Source organism: Homo sapiens, chromosome 2 (assembly GCF_000001405.40).
Source record: "Homo sapiens chromosome 2, GRCh38.p14 Primary Assembly".
Lineage (NCBI taxonomy): Eukaryota > Metazoa > Chordata > Mammalia > Primates > Hominidae > Homo > Homo sapiens.
In genome coordinates this window covers 100,637,517-100,657,637 of record NC_000002.12, presented here as the reverse complement: position 1 = coordinate 100,657,637, position 20,121 = coordinate 100,637,517, and the positions used below count along the sequence as shown (strand labels likewise).

Genomic DNA, 20,121 nt, shown 5'->3' with positions numbered 1-20,121 from the left:
TACTGATACATGCAGCAAGTCGGATGGATCTCAGTGGAGTTATGCTGAGTGAAAAGAGCCAATCTAAAAAAGCTACCTATCATACGATTCTGTGTATACAATATTTTTGAAATAATAAAATTGCAGAGCTGGAGAACAGATTTGCGGCTGTCAGGGGTTTGGCAAGATGAGAGGGGAGGAGGAGACCATGGCTAAAACAGGATAACATAAGGGATCCTTGTATTCTATATTCTGACTGTGGTGGTGGTCATACGAACTCACATTGCATAGAACTAAGTATACACACACACACACACACACACACACACACACACACAGCTGCATGCATGTAAAAGTGGTGAAATTCGAAGGTCAATGTACTGCATCAATGCCAGTTTCCTAATTCTGCTATTATACTATAGTAATGCAAGATGTTACTACTGGGGAAACCGGGTGAAGGGTGTGTTGCTTCTTTTTTTTTTTTTTCTTTTTTTTTCGAGATAGAGTCTCGCTCGCTCACCCAGGCTGGAGTGCAGTGGCGTGATTTCGGCTCACTGCAACCTTCCCCTCCCGGGTTCAAATGATTCTCCTGCCTCGGCCTCCTGAGTAGCTGGGATTACAGGTGCGTGCCACCACATCTGGCTAATTTTTGTATTTTTAGTAGAAACGGAGTTTCACCATGTTGGCTAGGGTGGTCTCCAGCTCCTGACCTCATGATCCACCTGCCTTGGCCTCCGAAGTGCTGGGATTACAGGCGTGAACCATGGTGCCCGTCCGTGTTGCTTCTTATCACTGCATGTGGATCCACAATCATCTCAAAAATAAAAAGTTTTTTTTTAATGTGGTTACCCCCAGAAAAAAAAATTGCATATAAGTGTACAGATTCCTTTCCACATCCATTATCCCAACTGCTTCCATTCCTGGGAGGTCAAGCAGTCTTGTTAGCCCATTTTGCAAGAGAAACCTAGGACCAAAATGGTTAATATGGCCAAGGAAAGATCATATTCTTGGTCCTGTGACTGGCTGTCTTCAATAGCTGTAGATGGAGCATATTATCTCTATTTTACCTGTGAGAAAACTGAGTCTCAGAAATAGAACATGTCCCAGTTTATATACCTAGAGTATGAAACGGAGGTCTTTTGGTTGTAAACTATAGAAACTAAACCCAAGCTGGATTAAGGCAAAAAGGTGGCATTGGCTCAGGTAACGGAAAGTTTATGGGTTTCAGGCACAGCTTGACCCAAGTACTAAAACCATGTAACTGGGATTCCACCTCTCAATTTTAGCCCTGCTTTCTTTCACATTGTTTCTATTTCTAGGCAGGCTTTCCCCAAACAATGGCAAAGATATTTTACATTCCACCAACTTAGCAAACCATAAAAAGAGTCCCTCTTCCAATATCTCCAGAAAGGTCCTAAATTGATTCTGACTTTTCTGGCTTGAGTCACATACCCAGAAATACATACAATTGTAAGTGGCCTGATCCTGGTCACGTGCCCACCCTTGACCTGAATTATCTGGACCAAGAGTAGGGAGGACTGGTTCTACAAGGGAGGCTGAGCACACAGAAAACACACCTGCATGGGCTCCCACGAGAACCCACAGGTAAATCGGAGGGCATCCCACAAAGAGCCTGGATAGACAGCAGCTCTGAATAGTAGCTCAGCTTTCCTTTGATGTTGGCCACCTGTCCTACCAACCACTCCCTCAACACTCAACTCTTGCCACTTTGGCAGGAGCCAACGGGCCCCCTCTAAGTTGCACAGCAATCTGAGCACGGTACCAGGGGCTGGAATTCGAAGCTGCTCTAAGAAACCAGCCAGCATTTCTTTCCTGAAGACACCATAGACCCATCTGCTTCACAGAGTAATGAGAAAACACGTGCGTTAATAAAGGCGAACATTTGCAACTTGCCTACTAGAGACAGCTGAAAGTAAACACTGAGTGGGGATGCTCCCTTATTGTTATCTACACCTTGCCAGGCCACTTAGGAGGATGCCAAGAGCCCGCAGTATTTCATCTCCAGCTCCAGCTTCATCAGAGCCAAGTCCTCATCACTCTATAGTCTTGCCAGCTGAGTGGGCAGTGCCAGCCCCTGCCGTGGGAGGGGGTGTCCAGTGCATGGTGCCCCTATTCCAAGGGGCACCCTCCAGAGCTGCTGTCCCTGCAGAGCTAGTGAGGGTAGCTCTGTTTCTGTTGAGGGCCTACTGGGGACCCCATCCCCTTTCCTCGGTGTGCTTTCGTCTGTTCCCAGAAGCACCATTCATCAGTCGTCCTCACTTTAATCTCCTTCTCCAGTTGACATATTTAAAATTAATGAGGAATTTGTTTTTATCCAACTCTCTCGTTAGGGCAGTGAGCCTATTTCTCCCTCTCAAATGAATCTTCTAGGTAAAATTATGAAAAAATATGTTTTTCTCTCCTACCCTGGCCCTACTTTTAATGTTTTTGGCAGCTCTGAACAGAGCCACTATATAAAAATCAGACATTTTATTGCTCAGTAATTAGCCCAAACTAGCCCAGACAGACAGTTTGCAGGTAGAGAGAAGAAGAGATGGATGAGGAAAGGGTGCCCAGGGATGCAGTAGGTGCTTGTGTGTAATGAGCTTTTGAACAATTTCCTTTGCTGGATTTCTGTGGGCAAAAGGTGTCCCTGAGTAGGCTGTGCCAAGTTATTTCCTGAAGATGTGAGCACTAAAAAGTATTTGTTTCCTCAATCTCATGGTGTTACGGTCTGAATGTGTGTGCCCTCCCCCGCAAATTCCTGTGTGGAAATCCTCACCCCCAAGGTGATGGTGTTCGGAGGTGGGGCTTTGGGAGGCAATTAGGTCATGAGGATGGAGCCCTCATGAATAGGATTAGTGCCCTTAGCAAAGAGACTGCAGAGCACTCTCTTGCTCTCTTTGCATCATGTAAAGGCACAAAGAAGCTGTGGCTGGATGCGGTGGCTCACACCTGTAATCCCAGCACTTTGAGAGGCCGAGATGGGCAGATCACCTGAGGTCGGGAGTTCAAGACCAGCCTGGCCAACATGGTGAAACCTCGTCTCTACTAAAAATACAAAAATTAGCCAGGCATGGTGGCATGTGCCTGTAATCCCAGCTACTCTGGAGGCTGAGGCAGGAGAATCGCTTGAACCCAGGAGGCAGAGGTTGCAGTGAGCTGAGCTGGTGCCACTGCACTCCAGCCTGGGCGACAGAGCAAGACTCCCTCTCAAATATAAAAAAAAAAGGGGGGGCCAGGCACGGTGGCTCACCCCTGTAATCCCAGCACTTTGGGAGGCCAAGGTGGGTGGATCACCTGAGGTCGGGAGTTCGAGATCAGCCTGACCAACATGGTGAAACTCTGTCTCTACTAAAAATACAAAATTAGCCGGGCGTCGTGGCGCATCTCTGTAATCCCAGCTACTCAGGAGGCTGAGGCAGGAGAATTGCTCAAACCTGGGAGGCGAAGGTTGCGGTGAGCCGAGATCGCACCATTGCACTGCAGCCAGGGCAACAAGAGCAAAACTCCCTCTCAAAAAAAAAAAAAAAAAAAAAAAAACCAGACAGAGAGAGAGAGAAGCTGTCAGTCTGCAACCCAGAAGAGGGCCCCCACCAGAACCCAACCATCTGCCACCCTGATCTTGGACATCCAGCCTCCAGAACTGTGAGAAATAAATTTCTGTTGTTTATAAGCCACTGTGGTATTCTGTTATAGCAACCCAAACTAAGATACATGATTTGAAATGACAGGTATGACTGCTTCCTGGTGTCTGTGCGAGGGGAGATCTCACCACAGGCAGGTAGGAGGGCCCTGGTGCAGGTCCCTGAACATGCAGTCTGGGCTTGCGTGGGGCCCTGCCCGTAGCATGCTCATAGCACCCAGCTCACAGACTGAAATGTTCTCTTTGTGGATCTCCCTCCCACAAGAGAAAGTGGTTTCCGTGAAGAAAGGGACTGCATCTTTCTTTGTAATGTGAGCTTTCTACTGTGCTTAGCACATAGCAGGTGCTCAGAAAGATGTGTTGAACTGAGCTGATGTAGGGTGAATACAGACACAGATCACACATGAAGCCAGGTGAGCCTTGGCCCAGGCATGCCCTCTGGGAGAGGCGGGGGATAAATGAGAGGATGCTGCCCCCTCTTTTTCTATCAAGAAAGCCTTCCTGGAGCAGATGCAGCTTGCCTCCGTTTGGGAGCGCTCTGGACACTTCTGTCCTTCTGCTGGACCACCACAGGACACCAAGCAGGCTTCCCTGTCCTCTGTCCTCCCTCCCACCTTCTTTTGTGCTAAGTCCTCCAATCGTCAAGGCCTGGTGTTCTATTGGTGACCACTCTCTCTGCTGGTTAAAAAGCCCATTCTCAGAAGGACTGTTCAGTGTGGCTGACCTTCACTCAGCAGGGTCTGTGACTCCCAGGTGTGAAGCCACTGGCGGAGTATCCAGGGGCCGAGGGCTGATGCATTTCTCCTCATCCACCTCACTCTGACCCCGGATGCCAGTTAACCCAGGAGAGGTCCCTGAACACAACCCCGATGCAAGCAAAGGTAAGTTCATAAGTTCTCAATGCCTAAGGGATAGAACGTGGCAAATCTGGACTCAGAGCCTAAACCAAGCAGAAAAGTAACAGTAACAATTCTGAGGCTGGGAAGACCAGCTTGGGAAAGTTGCAAGCGCTGAAGCATTTTCAATTCTTAAAATGCACCAGCACCACACTGCCCCACCCTGAGCAGAGGAAAAGAAAATCAATTCTTCCATGGCAAAAACGAAATAAAGTGCTCAGCTGGTTAAAACTGCTGTTGCAGGAAGAAGCAAGCCCTCTGAGACGGGGTTGCCAGAAAAACACAGGATGCCCAGTTAAATGTGGATTGTAGATAAACAAGAAAACAATCTTTAGTATAAGTATGTCCCCTGAAATACTGGGGACATACTTATACTAAAAATTATTGCTTACTTAGCTGAACTTCAAATATAATTGGGCCTCCTCTACTTTGCCTGGCAACCCTGCTCTGACAGGTAGAGGCCACTGCTGAATCTCTGCTGTGTGTTCTGTTCACAGGTGGTGGACAATACGGAGGAGGATGAAGAGGCATGGTCCACCACAACAGGTTGCCCAGAGAGGCTGTAGAGAGTTTAAAAGGAAGGAGTGAGAGGGATCACCAGACCATGAAGTAGGTACAAAGGTATTCCTGTCCAAAATACCAAAGACTTGGGAACAGCATAAATGTTTCACATCAGGAAAATGGTTTGAAGTGATGGTATGTTTACATGATGGAATATCAGGCAGACACTAGATAGTATGTTTGGGAGGAAACTTCAACAACTTTGAAAACAAAATGCCCACCTTCTCTGTCTCTGAAGGGCCCTGAGCTCCCTGGACCCACACAGTTGGACGATGAGGGCTTTTATCCTATAGTTAACTCCTGAAGATGAATCCAGGCCTTTAAAGTTGGCCCCTGCAGGTTCACATCTCAGTTCTGTGGCTTCCTAGCTGTGCCATCTTCGAAAAGTTATCTTTCTGTGCCTCAATTGTCCCATCTCTAAATGGGGCCAATATGGGCCAATCTCATAGGGTTCCTGTGAGGATCAGGATGTGATAAACACTCAGGACAATGCCCGGGACATGGTAATAGCTTGGTAAGCATCAGCTCGGTGTCCATTAGCTGTGATTTCTCCCATTTCCCACAAGAAGGCTGAAGGACAAAACCGTGGAGAAAGTACAAGCATACCTGGGAGATACCGAGGGTTCAGATCCAGACCACCACAATCAAGTGAGTCACACAAGTTTCTGTTTCCCAGTTACATTAAACATATGAAAGTTATGTTTACACTATACTGTGGTTTATTGAGTATGCAATAGCATTATGTCTAGAAAACCAGTCTAAATTCCTTAACTTTAAAATATACTTTATTGCTAAAAAATGCTAATGATCATCTGAGCCTTCAGCCAGTCATAATCTTTTGGCTTGTGGAGGGTCTTCCCTCAATGTTGATGGCTGCTGATTGATCAGGGTGGTGGCTGATGAATTTGTGGGCCACTGTGGCAATTTCTTAACATAAAACAACAATGAACTTTGCTGTATCAATTGGCTCTTCCTGTTACAAAAAATTTCTCTGTAGCATGTGATGCTGTTTGAGAGCATTGTATCCACAGAATAACTTTTTTTCAAAATTGGGCTCAATACTCTCAAACTCTGCTGCTGCCTTAGTAATTAATTTGGGAATATTCTGAATACTTTGTTGAGTAGATTCTATCTCAAGAAAGCACTTTCTTTGTTCAATAAGAAGCTACTACTCACTCATTCAAGTTTTATCAAGAGGTTGCAGCAATTCAGTCACATCTTCAGACTCCACTTCTAATTCTAGTTCTCTAGTGTTCTCTTGCTGTTCCTACCATATCTGCAGTTATTTCCTCCACTGAAGTCTTGAACCCCTCAAAGTCATCTATTGTTTCAAACTCTTATTAATATTGTGGGTTTGTTTGTTTGTTTGTTTGTTTTTTGAGATGACAAGGTCTCTCTCTGTTGCCCAGGCTGGTCTCAAACTCCTGGGCTCAAGCAATCCTCTCACCTCAGTCTCCCAAAGTGTTAGGATCTACCGTGCCTGGCCAATGTTGATATTTTCACCTCCTCTCATGAATCACAAATGTTCTTAATGGTATCTAGAGTGATGAATGTTTTCCAAATTTTCAATTTACTTTGCCCAGATCCATCAGAGGAATCATTATTTATGGCAACTATAGCCTTATGAAATGAATTTATTAAATAAGATTTTGAAGTCGAAATTACTCCTTGATCTTATGAGTTGCAAAATGGATGTTGTGTTAGCAGACATGAAAACAACTTTAATCTCCTTTGACATGTCCATTGGAGCTCTTGGGGAACCAGTTCTATTGTCAATAAGCTGTAATGTGAAAAGAATCTCTTTTTCTGAGCAGTAAGTCTTAACAGTGGACTCAAAAAATTCAGTAAACCATGCTGTAAACAGATATGCTGTCAGCCAGGCTTTGTTATTCCACTTATAAAACATTGAGTAGAGTTCACATAATTCTTTTCTTTTTTTTCTTTTTCTTTTTTATAGCAGAAAGTAAAGGCTAAGAGTTAACATAATTCTTAAGGCCCCTAGCATTTTTGGAATGGTAAATGTGCATTGACTTCAACTTAAAGTCACCAGCTGCATTAGCTTCTAACAAGAGAGTCATCCTGTCCTTTGAAGCTTTGAAGCCAGGCATTGACTTCTCTCTAGCTCTGAAAGACGTAGATAATGTCTTATTCCAACAGAAGGCCATTTCATCTACATCGAAAATCTGTTGTTGAGTGTAAACACCTTCATCAATATCTCAGTTTGATCTTCTGGATAACTTGCTACAGCTTTTACATCAGCACTTGCTGTTTCTGTACTTTTCTGTTAGAGAGAAAGCTTATTTCCTTAAACCTCATGAACCGACCTCTGCTAGCTTTCAACTTTTCTCCTGCAGCTTCCTCATCTCTCTCAGCCTTCATAGAACTGAAGAGAGTTAGGGCCTTGCCCTGGATTAGGCTTCATCTTAAGGGAATGTTGTGGCTGGTTTGATCCTTTATCCAGAGCATTCATGCTTTCTCCATATCAGCAATAATGCTAATAATAAGGTTTCACTTTTCTTTTTTAATCTTCATGTGTTCTTTGGAGTAGTACTTTTCATTTTCTTCAAGAACTTATCTTTTGCACTCTCAACTGACTGTTTGGTGCAAGAGGCATAGCTTTCAGCCAGTCTTGGCTTTCAATATGCCTTCCTCATTAAACTTAAAAATTTCTAGCTTTTAATTTAAAGTGAGAGACATGCGACCCTTTCTTTCACTCAAACATTTAGAGGCCATTGTAGGGTTATTAACTAGCCTAATTTCAATATCATTGTGACTCAGGGAATAGGGAGGGACAAGAAGAGGGAGAGAGATGGGAGAAGAGCCAGTTAGTGGAGATTTTTATTTTCTCTTTCTACCACCATGGGACAAACTCTTGTTAGGTTACTTTTCCAGCCCTAATCTACCAGGTTGGGAGCTGTGCAGGGCTGGGCTTTAAGGAGGTGGAATAGAGAGCTTTTCAATGCAGTGTGGTGGAAGGTCACTGGCTATGTCTTCTAGCCCCAAATACCACACATCACCCACCTTTCCAACACCTGCCAATTTCAGCACCTGAAAGGTGATAATTTCTGATTTATTTCACAGGGTCTTGAAAGATGGGTCCTTTGTTGAACCACAAGTGGCCCAACTGGGGCTAACTGGCAGCTGGGTTGTGTATGGCACTTAGGTAAGAGTAGGGGAGTAGAAGTACCCAGAGGTTCATACGATAGGTACGTTAGTCTTAGGTTTTAAGAAACTGAGCTGTACTGTGGTTGCTTAAGTAAGCTGTGTTTATTATAAGGGCAGCTCTGGAGTAAGGGATGGAATATAGATGACAGGCACAAGCTTCAAAGGGACCGCAGAAATATTTTTACAGCCAGGCCTCATGGAAATAGGGAAGTAGTCCAGGAAGGGTGGTCTTAGGGTGATCACCACCTCAGCAGCAGGAGCCCTCTGATGCCCTTAGCCTTTACCTTTACTCAGCTCTTAAGGGTCTGTCTTCCATTGTCCCTATTGAAGCAGGAAATTTTCCCTGACCCCTTCATGGGTGGGAACCGGAGTGTGGGCACTGGAGCTAGCCAGCTGCTTTGGTGCCAATGGGGGTAAACTCCACTCACTTGAACCCATTGTACTCAACCCCTCATGGGAGGTAGCATGCAGGTGAGTGGGTGTGGGAGCCAGGGTGATTGCTTTTGGGCACCAGCAGAAGCAAAACTCCATGTAGGCCTTGCGGCAGCATCTAGCAGGGAATACCCATGACTCCCGAAGCCCCAGAAGGAGTGTTACAGTCAGCGCTCTTTTAGCTTTGCTGTCCATGGACAGTTTAAGTGTTAACAGCTCAGTGAGCCCTCTGCCTTTTCACGTGAGATGGCTGCTTTCTGCCAGTGAGAGGGTCAGTGTGACAGTCTTCTGCATCTGTACCTGTGGTACCTGAGCTTTTGTTCACTGTCCAGGAAAGATCGGATCGTACAAATGAATTAAAGGGTGATGAATGCAAAAGATTTTATTGCCAATGAAAGTGGCTCTCAGCAGGAAGGGGAGCTGGAAAGGGGATGGAGCAGGAAGGTGATCTTCCCCTGGAGTCCAGCCATCCCCAGCTAGACTCCTGTCCGAAGCAATGCCATCAAGCCATCCCTCTGAAGTCAAACTGCTTCTTCCTGATGTCCAACTGTAGTCTCTGACGTCCTGCACTTCTCCTCTTCTCCTCTCTGACAGTGCAGCCTAGGGTTTTTATGGACAGAAGATGGGAGACAGGGCAGGCCATGGGTGGTTTTGGAAAATGCAACATTTGAGCAGGAAAACAGGAATGCATGTTCTCACTTTGGGCTGTGGTTCCAGGCTTGAGGGTTGGACCCTCACTGGGGACCCGCCTGCTTCTGCCCAGAATATCCCTGCCTCCTGTCCCTGTAACTATGACTGCTTGCAACCTACTCTTTCTCTTTCCTCTACCTCCTGACCTCTGCTAGTTACAGCCTCTACCTATTCACAGATTCTCCAACTCGTAGTTTCTGAGTATTACTTCTCTCTGATGGAGGTTCAGTTTCTTTTCCCATGACCAACCACTCAGTTGCCTCTCTCTCTTTCATATTCATACTGCCCAAGGAGTGATTCTGCAGAATAGGCACTGGCCATGCTGTCTATCCACTGTCCAATCAGCTGTGGCCATGTGGTCACATGATCATGGTTCCAACATGGCAGCCCACAGTGGGAGGAACTCATGGGAAGAGGACTATGGGAGTAGCAGGCACCCCAAGACTTGTCCTGCCCACATCAGGGGGATGAAAAAGAGGGGGTATGACTCTGCCAATAACAAATTTTCTCTATTTTATAGATTGGTTGCTGGGGGAGGGTCTGGTAAAATGAAATGAGACACTGAGTTCTGTCATAGAACTTTATTTTCAATAATTAGGCTTTATTTTCAAGAATCCTTAGAGTTCCTCCCATGAACCCCAGAGAGCCAAGGGGCACTGTTTGAAAAAAAATAACACTAGGTCAAATCTGACCCCCTAAGCTTGTAGCCAGGCTGCTTTTTTCATTTTTCGCAAGTCAGACACATCTTTGGGGACAGTGGTAAGAACACATGGAAGTGATCCCAAGTCCCCTAGACACTTCAGCATCATCTGGCCAGTGAGGGCAGTATTTGCTGCTCTGACCCTCTAGGCACTGCTAAGTTAAAGATGTACAGGACATATCATGTAGCTGGCTTGTCTCTGAGGTAGTCTTCCAGCTACCTTGATCTTGTCTTGGGAATGTCTGCTGGGTTCTATAACTTAATAGGGTAAGTCATTTTAACAGGTAAACAACAGTGGAGTTTTTTGGTTTTGGGGTTGGGGAATTGGAAGAGAAGGAGAATGTATATACCAAAGACATCTAAGGGGAAAGAATCCAAAAGAAACAAGGGAATATTTATCCACTTAACATTTACGCTAAAAAAAAAAATGTAGTTTTCTTTAAAACACTTAGCTTAACTATCAAAATGGAAATGTGCTCATGAGGTAATTCGCATGAAAGAGGCAATGACTGATGGCTTAAAGATAATATATACTCATGTAGTAAGTGCCACACACTGTTCCAAGTGCTTTATCTATATCAAGTCATTGGTCTCCACAATCTTATGAGGGAGGTATAATTTTGATTCCATTTTACATAAAAGAAAACTGAGGCACAGAACCATTAATTCACTTGCCCAAGGTCTTGCAGCTAGCAAGTGGCAGAGGTGGTGGCATTTAAATCCTGACAGTCTAACTCTCAGAGTTTAGGCTCTGAATTACAATGTTCTCAAAGGAAATTTAAAACTACATGGAATTGAATGAAAATGATAACACAACATATTAAATTGGATGGGATGCAGCCAGTATTTATCCAGCATGCATTATGCCTAAGTGGTTTTAAGTCCATTACCTCTATGAGGCAGGGTCACATGAGCACACCCATGCTCAGAGAGGTCAGGTACTGGTACAAGGTCATTCAGGTAGGAGATGGAAGAGCCAGGATAAGAACACAGGTCTAGTTCCAGAATCTTCCATCTACCCATTAGTTCTCCCTGTGCACAAGTGATAACTTTCAAGGTACATTTGCACGTTGATGGGAGATAATCCATCTACCCAAGAAATAAACGTTGATGGTGGAAATTCTAGAAATAATTTAGCTTGAGGGAGGGCGTCTTCCAAGCATCCCTGAAATTATAGCTCACAATTCGCTGTTTCCTAAGCCAGCTCTGCTAGAAGGTGACAGAATCTGAGCCCTGCTTGAGCAGTTTTCTTTCTCCCTCTTCCGTCAGGCATCCCCTGTGGGAGGAAGGAGGAGCTCAAGGTCAGGAGAGCACTGTTCCCTGGGAGGTAAGTGCAGCACTCAGCCGCATTGACTCCAGCTGGCATCCTTCAGTGCGGGAGGCCTCACCGTCTATCCCTGCAGGGCTTTGTTCCCCGCAGGCCTCTGAATGTGAGATCCACCCTCTTTGGATTTCTGGGGCAATTTTTGCTTTACTTTTTCACCTGACCCTTTGGTTTAAAAACACAATAAGGAGTGGGAATTATTAGCACTGGAGTTAAAGAATGCCGGCTTTTAGGACCTGTTTTTTTCTGGTCAAGCTGAGAGAGGAAATCAAAGCTTCCATTCTTCTCCCTGGAAACAGAACTTACAGAAGTGTGTCTTATTACATCATTGTTGATAAAAAGCAAGTGGGAAATACTTGAAAATGTGAAAAATCACAGAGTAACTGTGTGTGCATTCTACAGTGTAAAATCAATGGATGACATCCTTCCTGAGACTTAAGAAAGTCCAGACCAAGTTAAGAAGAGGGAGTTGGATGGAGATGCCAGGAATTGATGAAACTCTGTGTGCAAAGCACAGCACAGTTAGTGCCAAGAGTAGGAGGTGGTCCTCTCACCTCTAAGGACTTCAGAAGGCTGGTTGGCCTGGGGAATGCCAAATACTCAGTAATGCCTCTGTTTCCTAACTGGCCAAAATGTGAAAAAGTAAATGGGCTCAAATAAATATTAATGAAGTGTCGACCATGTACTACATTGCAAAACGGCCTTTGTGGCCTTTGCAAAATTTATGACAGTAGGAAATCTGATATAGTTGACTTCATCTTGCTTCTGATCTCCAAGCTGTCCTTGGTCATTCCTGGGCATAGGACAAGCTAACTTTGGGAGGAATTGAGTTTATAGTTTACATTTAAAGCAAAGGTGATAATAGCCCTTCCCCAAACTAAACCACCTTTGTAAAACTAATGAAAGGTCACAAGGTTAAGATTATGAGAGAGAGGGGCCTGAATTCTGACAAGACAGGCATAGTTTCTAGAATCCCTTACTGCTCAGGGGTCATGTGGCCAGAGGTCACAAGATTTGTGACTTTTCCAATTGCTCCTATAAATAACATCGCTATTGTAGAACTGAAGATTGGTTTTTGAGATATCTTTCAGACTGACCCCACCAGGACTCATGACTCATGGCTCAACAGGTCTTGTGGCTCCCATGTAGAGGCAGACTCAGTGCACGAGGACCATTTTCCACACCCTTGTGATTTCATCCCCAACCAATCAGCAGCAGCCATTCCCTAGCCCCCTGCCCACCAAATTATCCAAAACACCCTAATATCCAAGCTTTTGGAGAGACTAATTTGAGTAATAACTCCAGTTCTCCCACGTGGGTCAGCCTCACGTCATTTAAACTCTTTCTCTATTGCAATACCGTGGCCTCAGTGAGCTGATTTTGTCTGCGCTGTGGAAAGGAAGAACCAGTCAGGTGACTGCAGTTAGACAAACTGGAAGTTAATCTGTGGGTCTTTCACTGACCAACAATGACTTCATCTCTCTGAGCCTCAGTTTCCTCATTTATAAAATGGTGCTCATAGCAACTGTACCTGAGTGTAACAAGCCCAATGCCTGAACTCTGATACCCCCCAAGGAAACACAAATAGGCAAGTCAGAAATCCTCTTTTATAACAAAGCAGGGAGCGGAATGCACCAGACATCCCCAGCAAGGCTTTCTAAAACTCTCTTCAAAGTTGTATTCCACAGGATACCGGCTCTCTCTCCACTCCCCACCATCCCCCACCACACTCTCAAATATTTTCTTCTTCCTGAGCTCTCCATGCCCTTTGTTCTGTAGATCAACGTGACTTGTAGATCAATGTGTTCTATAGATTAATATTCAGACGTCTCTGGTACTGCACCCTACCCTCTGCAGCACATCAGTGGGGTGGGGTTGAGTTGAGGGTTACACAGAATAATAACTTTTTTTTTTCTGATACACAATCATGCCATAGGTTGACATGATGATTAAAGAAACCACAGATGCAAAAACCACTAACAATAAGCCTAAAATGTGGAGCAAGCTCAGTAAAAGTTCACTTCCTTCCTCCTCCCGCAGACACAAAGATCAAACGTGCAAAGATCAAATGTATCTGAGAGGGTTTGGGAAATGGAGCACACAGTAGGGCCCTATTCTGATGAAAGCGCTGATCTGATGCTGAGATAAGAGGTAGCAAAGTGATGGTCTAACCCCACTTGGGGGTGCGATCAGCTATCCTTACATGGGCCAACTCCCAGGGAGGGATGGGGTCTCCCCTCCTGAAGGGACAGAGGAGAGGAAGGGAGCAGGGGTGGTGGGTGGTCTAATGCTAAACCTATGAAAGGAATGGTGATCTCAGAGGGGGTGGGGTTAAGACACTGATCTGTGGGCCAAAAAAAAAAAAAAAAGATACCTCTAGGAGAGTCAGTTAGCAGGAGCCTATCCTCATTTGTAGTTGGAAAACAGCCTGGTTGGGGCTATTTGGTCTCTTCTAAGTCAACTAAAAACACATTGAGACCAGGCACGGTGGTTCATGCCTGTAATCCCAGCACTTTGGGAAGCCGTGGCAGGAGTACCACTTGAGCACAGGAGTTCAAGACCAGCCTAGGCAACAGTGAGAGCTTCTCTCTCCTCCCACCACCCGCAAAAAAAAAAAAAAAAGAGCTGGGTGTGGTGGTACATGCCTGTGGTTCCAGCTGCTCAGGAGACTGAGAATGCAGTGAGCCAGGATCACACCACTGCACTCCAGCCTGGGTGACAGAGCCAGAACCTCTCTCAAAAAATAAATAAATAAAATAAATAAATAAATAAAATATATTTTTATTGAATGAAAATGATAACACATGCGTGTGTGTATGTGTGTGTGTGTATATATACATATATATATATATATATATATATATATGACTCCTTCCTTTTTTTCTAGTATTTTCCCTAATTACACAACAGAACAAAACAAGAAGGAAAGAAACAAGGTCAAGCTTTCTAGAAGGCCTGGATTTTTTCTCTATGAGGAAAATAAAATCATGCAGCCCCTTAGGGTTTCAGTCAGTGATCCTGTTATGGGCTGAATGTTGTCCCCCAGCAAATTCACATGGTGAAGTCCTAACCCCCAGTACCCACAGATGGTGACGGTATTTGGAGATTGGGTCCTGAAAGAGGTGGTTAAGGTAAAATGGGGTCACAAGGGTGGGCCCTAATATAGTATGGCTGGTCTCCCTATTAGAACATGAAGATGGCCATCTACGAGCCAAGGAGAGGGGCCTCAGAAGAAACCAGTCCTGCTGACACCTTGCTGTTGAACTTCCAGCCTCCAGAATTGTGGGAGAAATAAATGTTGTTTAAGCTGCCCTGCCTGGCACCCTGTCATGGCAGCCCTAGCAAACTAGTCCAGCTGCACTTGTCTGCGTGGAGACCTCTGACCCCAGGGCAAATGTTCCAGCTCGTCTTCCCTCCTTTGCCCTGCTATTTCCCCTACCGGTTGGCTCCTCCTGCCTGCTGGCTCTGCAGTGGTACCAACACCGAAGCAGGGGTCAGCAGGGGTGTGCTCTGGGGACCTGAAGCTGGCCCAGGAGGGTCAGGGATGGGCACAGCAGTGGGGAGAGGACAAAGCTAGAGTCAGTGCAGCCTTGGACCGACCACAGGAGCACTGTGGGCAGGCAGCCGGCAGGGGTAGTCTCGCTCTGTTTGAATGAGACCTGCTGTGTTTGCTGAGCCAGGAGACAGGCCCTGACTTCCCTGAGCTTCCAGGACGTTGAAGCATGGAAAGAGGTCGTTTTCCTTGGCCCAGCTTTGGGAGCCCAGGTCCGCATATGCCTCACAGCCCTCTGGGGGAGGCAGGAGCCCTCAGAGGACTCAGCTCCCTCAGTCAGGAAGAGAACCTGGTGTCTCCCAGAGGTGAGCACAGGTGTGGGAATAAGCAAGTTGAATCTGACTTAGAGGCCTAATATTTACTTTCCATCCCTATTCAAACCCCCCAACCTCCATCCCCCAGGGTGGCACAAGAACCAGGCAGCTTTTGAAGTGGCAGGAAATAGGGGTGAGACCACAGGCCTTCAGGTCCTGGAGTTGCCTCTGAGGAGCTCATCCCCATGCACGGGGTCCTTTCCCCATGCACGGGGTCCTTTACAGGGGGGACTCTGCTGCTTCCAGGCCACAGGGGACCAGGGCCCTCAGATGATGCTGGCAGCCACAAGGGCTGGGGTCAAGACCCCGAAGGACACACAGTGTTTCTCCTCTGAGGGTCTATCCTCATGAGAGCCTCTATCCTATTCTTTTCCAGAACTAGGTGCGCTCTCTCTCTCTCTCTCCTTTGAGAAGCTTAGGGTTCCAGACAAACAAAAGCCAGGGGGGCAGGGTAAAGTCAAGCAAGTTGCCTGCTGAAATATTGGGTATGAGAAATTGGAGCTGAAATGCAATCATTCCGCCACACCTGCTACACACAGCTTTGCTTCCTGGTCCTAGTCATGGGCTGAGGAAGCCTCAGGGTCCAGCTCAATCCCAGCAGGCTTGGAGTTGACCTCAAGGCCACCGAATTGCATCTTCCTCAATGCAGGGACCATGCCTTGCTTATCACCATAGCTACCGTTTATTGAGAGCATTCTCTGTGTGAAGTGGCTTCATATCAGTTATCATTAACCCTCACCATACTGAAGTCAGATGTTATGATCATCTTTTAACAGGCATGGAAATTAAGGCTCAAGAAGGTGACTTGCCCAAGACTTCATAGCCCACAACTGCTGGAGGTGGGATTTGAACTCGTCTGCGAGGTTCGAAATCACCCCAGCCCAGTGCCTGCTCCTGACAGAGACTCAGCAAGTGCAGCTCTGCGTGTTTCCTCCATCACAGAGGCCTGCTTAGGGGAAAAATCTTGCTGAAGAAAAGTGGCCGATGGTTTCGAGAGAAGAGACGCTTATTCATGTAATTCTCAAGAATCCCATCTCCGGCTTAGAAGGACACCTTTTCTGATTTCCCATTCAAAGGGACTGACGTACACTCAGGGGCTGAGGCAGCAGCTGTTTTTGCTGTGCACAGACTGGAGAGCGATGTGTGAGTGAAGTCTGTGGCCACTTCTCTCCTCCCCCGAGCCTTCTGGGGTTTGGGTTTATGACTCCAGAGGCGGAGAAGCGTGTTCCCTTTCTGTGCGGATCCCGTCATTGACAGAGTCTGTTTTAGAAGAGCATTTTTAGATGGCAGCGAACGTTCCAGACCCCAAAGCATTCTCTTTACAGCACCGTCTAGCTTGGGTGGGGATAGGGTGGGTTTGTGAACACGTGTGTGCGTGAGAGTGTGAGTGTGTGCAAGTGTGTGCACGTGTGTGTCAGTCCCTCTGTCTGGCTCCCACTGCTAGCCACCTCTGTCATATCCTGACTATTTCGCCGGGGCATCGTCCAGCCATAGGAATCTTCAGCAAACCTACAGTTCAGACGAACGCCCTCGTTTCTGCCCTGAGAAGAAAGTCCGTTGAGTCTGAGGGCTCCCGAGTCATTCTCTCAAGGCATTCATTCAGTTTTGTTTCCCCTGGTGCTACCCTCTCTGAAGTCGTTATTACTCATTAGGTGTATTGCACATACAGAAAAAGTAGGTCAAGGATTAAAAAAAAAAAGAAAAAACATCTCTGGGAGAAGCACAAGTATTGTGTAAAGCTATTTTGAACTTGCGTGAGATTTTTCAAGGGGGAAATGTTTTGTGCAGAGACGGCTGCTGCCACAGCTGACTTACCAATGAATGCCCGTGTCTGAGCCTTTCATACGCTAACCACGTGACCTTGGAATTCCATTTTGAAATGATAATTGTGCCCAGTGGGGTGAGCAGCCTCTCAATCCAGGTTCTATACAATATAGGTCACCTCGAGGATCCTCAGTAGAACAGGAACAAGAGAATCCTGAGAAATCTCTGTAAAGAAACAGAAAGAATGAGAGAGAAAACTGTGTGTCTAACCACCGGGCCCCTGGGCCCTATGTGCCACCCAGGTTTGGAGCAAGGCTGCGGGGCAGATGATGTCCAGGAGAGCCTCAGAAAGTCCGGGCTCTAGAAAAAAATACGTTCCAGCTCACTCTGCTCTGACCCTGCATCTGCTCTGTGCTGAAAGCTTTGTTGCTGCCATGAATATATTTAAGGGGAATAAAATGTGCAGTGTCAAAGCGACTGGCTTGAAGTGGGCTGGATGCATCCTAGGCTCCGCGAGGGAAAAGGCCTCTAGCTGGCAGTTGACAGAAGGGGGAAGGCAGTGAGGAGTGGGCCCACCCACGGGAGTCTGGGCATGAGGCGGGTCCTGGTTCCCAGGCTGCCCCGTGGGAATATGCTCCATGGGCTGGGGCTGCTGTGCTGGCTGCTCTTGCCCCCAGGGGGTCACTACGCTGGGCTTCTCCATCAGGGCTATCACGATATTGCCCAGGGTTTACAGGTTTACAGGCATTATCTCACTCAGTGTTGTTTTGCTCCCTTTCACAAAGAAAGGAAGGAAAAGAGAGGCAGGGGGTGAGAGAGGAAGCCAGACTAGCATTCAGCTCTGCTAGTTGTTCCTCGCCTGGGTTAGGCTTCCCTGGAAAGTAGCCTGCATTGTCTTGCACCTCCTTCATCTGACAGCCAGGTGCTCCTACTGGAGCATAACTGTAGTAGGCCATTTCTGTGCCAGTTGACTGAGAAGGCAGTGTCCCTGCTTTTCTGGAAACTTCCACACAACACAATTCCCGATGGAAAGCATTTAACAATTATGGGTGGGGCTCTGATCAAAAAGTAAGCTTTAGAAAAGGTTAACAGCTAAGCTGGGCATGGTGGCTCACACCTGTAATCCCAGCACTTTAGGAGGCCGAGGCGTGCAGATCACCTGAGGTCAGGAGTTCGAGACCAACCTGGCCATCGTGGCAAAACTCTGTCTCTACTAAAAATACAAACAACAACAACAACAAAAGAAAAAAAAATTAGCCGATCATGGTGGCAGGCACAAGCCTGTAATCCCAGCTACTTAGAAGGCTGAGGCAGGAGAATCGTTTGAACCTGGGAGGTGGAGGTTGCAGTGAGCCGAGATTGTACTACAGCACTCCAGCCTGGGCAAAAGAGTGAGACGCTCTCTCAAATTAAAAAACAACAAAAAAAGGTAACAGCAAGTGGTTACAACCCATGAATCTTTAATCATTTTAAATAGTAAAAGTGTTTGGAAACTCTTATAATATTAGAGCTAAAACACACCTTAGGGATGATTTAAGGCACTTTTTCAAACGATAAACAAGATCCAGATAATTACGTCAAATATTTATAGTAACCCATCTTATTGGTGCCAGTTTGAGAATAGAACCCACATTTGCAAATAATCTCAACACCTTCTGTTTCACCTCACTTTTCAAAGGTCCTTGAGAAGGGTATTTGCACACTGCCTGCAAGGTAGCTGCAATGGCTATAAAGCTATTGCGTAGATAGAATTCCAATTGCGTAGATAGAATTCTACTCTATCTGTGTTAACCTAGCTAAAATTAATGTGCTGTGATAAAACTCACCAACTAAACATGTAAAAACAATCACTACTTTTCCTTCTTTGTGTTTTCTCAGTGCGTTTTGGGGGAAATGATTTAGATAGCCAGCGTCTCAGAATTGCTGTCCAGTCCAGGGAGACTAAATTGGTGATTTCTTTTTCTCTCAACGAATGTTCCTATAACAGGCAGTGACTTTTAAAATCATTCTAGAGATGATTCCCTTCTAAAAGTAGCTGTTATATTCTTTAAACATTTGCATTCATTGGTTGGTGAAATGGGAACCTTGACAGTGCTGGGGAAGAGCCAGAGAATGAAATAATCCGTGATGGCATGGTAACCCCTTGGCAGAGAGGGGAGGGCTGCAGGGATGCTGGATCTGTGTGGGCAGCAGTGAGCAGTGGTGGACCCTGAGAATTGGACAGTAGAACGGGGCAGAGCCTGGGAGGATGGTGCCGGTGACTCTGGGGTCCAGGGAAGCTCACGTCTGTTGATTTTAGTGCAAACGGTAGCAGCTTCCTCCTGCTCCTCTCCTATAGTTGCATTAGATCCTCCTTAGTTCATGCAGAGATGCCGTTGATTTCTAGGCATCATTCCCCTCTCACTTTCCATGCTGGAAGAAACCGGGGGTAGCCTTAACTAGAGGGGGCATCTAAACTTTCAAACTGTTTCACTCTGGCCTCTACCCTTACTTCTCCGTCAAAATTGCTCTAACGGATGACCGCTATGTAGCCCGATCCAGCGGAAACTTTTCAGTGTTCATCCTACGTGACTTTTCAACAGCCTTTGGCATGGCTGTCCATGCTCTCCTTCTTGAAATACTCTCTTCTCTTGCTTCTGAAATACTCACTCCCAGCACTTCTGTTATCCTGTCCCTCCTTTTCTATTGCCAGCAGCTCCTCCACTACAATGTTTAAATGTTGAGGTTCCTAAGGCTTGCTCCTAGATCATCTTCTCTCCTCACCACTTTCTTGCTTTTTAAGAGAATTGCCTTCCCTACCCAGAAATACCAAGGAAAGGAATAGGGGGAGTGCAGGTCGGGGGACACCACCCACTGAAAGAAACTGAATTTCCATGACAAGGGAAAGCCCTTCTACCCACTCAGGCAGCATCATCAGGGACCAATGGGATATCCAGAAGCACCAGAGAAACCTAGCAGACCAAAGGCTCTGGAAATCAAACTAACATTAGAACCAGAGTCCATAAGGTAAGGCGAGATGCATGTGCTAAACCTAAATAGGGTACCTGACTGCTAATATGAAATATTTATATAGGACCCAGACTCTCCTGACATAACA

At 46.1% G+C, this 20,121-nt stretch overlaps 1 long non-coding RNA gene across 2 annotated transcripts, besides 2 other annotated features; it reads left to right on the top strand.

Annotated features, from left to right (window-relative positions):
- Positions 1-4,312: 4,312 nt before the first annotated feature.
- Positions 4,313-17,472, top strand: LOC107985814 (uncharacterized). 2 transcript variants are annotated; one of them, XR_001739198.1, is made up of 5 exons: positions 4,313-4,506; positions 5,019-5,130; positions 5,649-5,730; positions 11,339-11,396; positions 16,037-17,472. It is a non-coding gene; the product is annotated as an uncharacterized LOC107985814 (long non-coding RNA). The 2 variants fall into 2 exon arrangements; XR_001739199.1 differs by lacking the exon at positions 5,649-5,730.
- Positions 14,347-14,847: an enhancer, noted in NCBI's record as "H3K4me1 hESC enhancer chr2:101259253-101259753 (GRCh37/hg19 assembly coordinates)". NCBI's record gives its function as "activates a minimal SCP1, AML or CMV promoter by ChIP-STARR-seq in primed H9 embryonic stem cells {active_cell/tissue: H9 hESC(primed)}" and the evidence as "EXISTENCE:reporter gene assay evidence [ECO:0000049][PMID:30033119]".
- Positions 14,848-15,348: an enhancer, noted in NCBI's record as "H3K4me1 hESC enhancer chr2:101258752-101259252 (GRCh37/hg19 assembly coordinates)". NCBI's record gives its function as "activates a minimal SCP1, AML or CMV promoter by ChIP-STARR-seq in primed H9 embryonic stem cells {active_cell/tissue: H9 hESC(primed)}" and the evidence as "EXISTENCE:reporter gene assay evidence [ECO:0000049][PMID:30033119]".
- Positions 17,473-20,121: the final 2,649 nt, after the last annotated feature.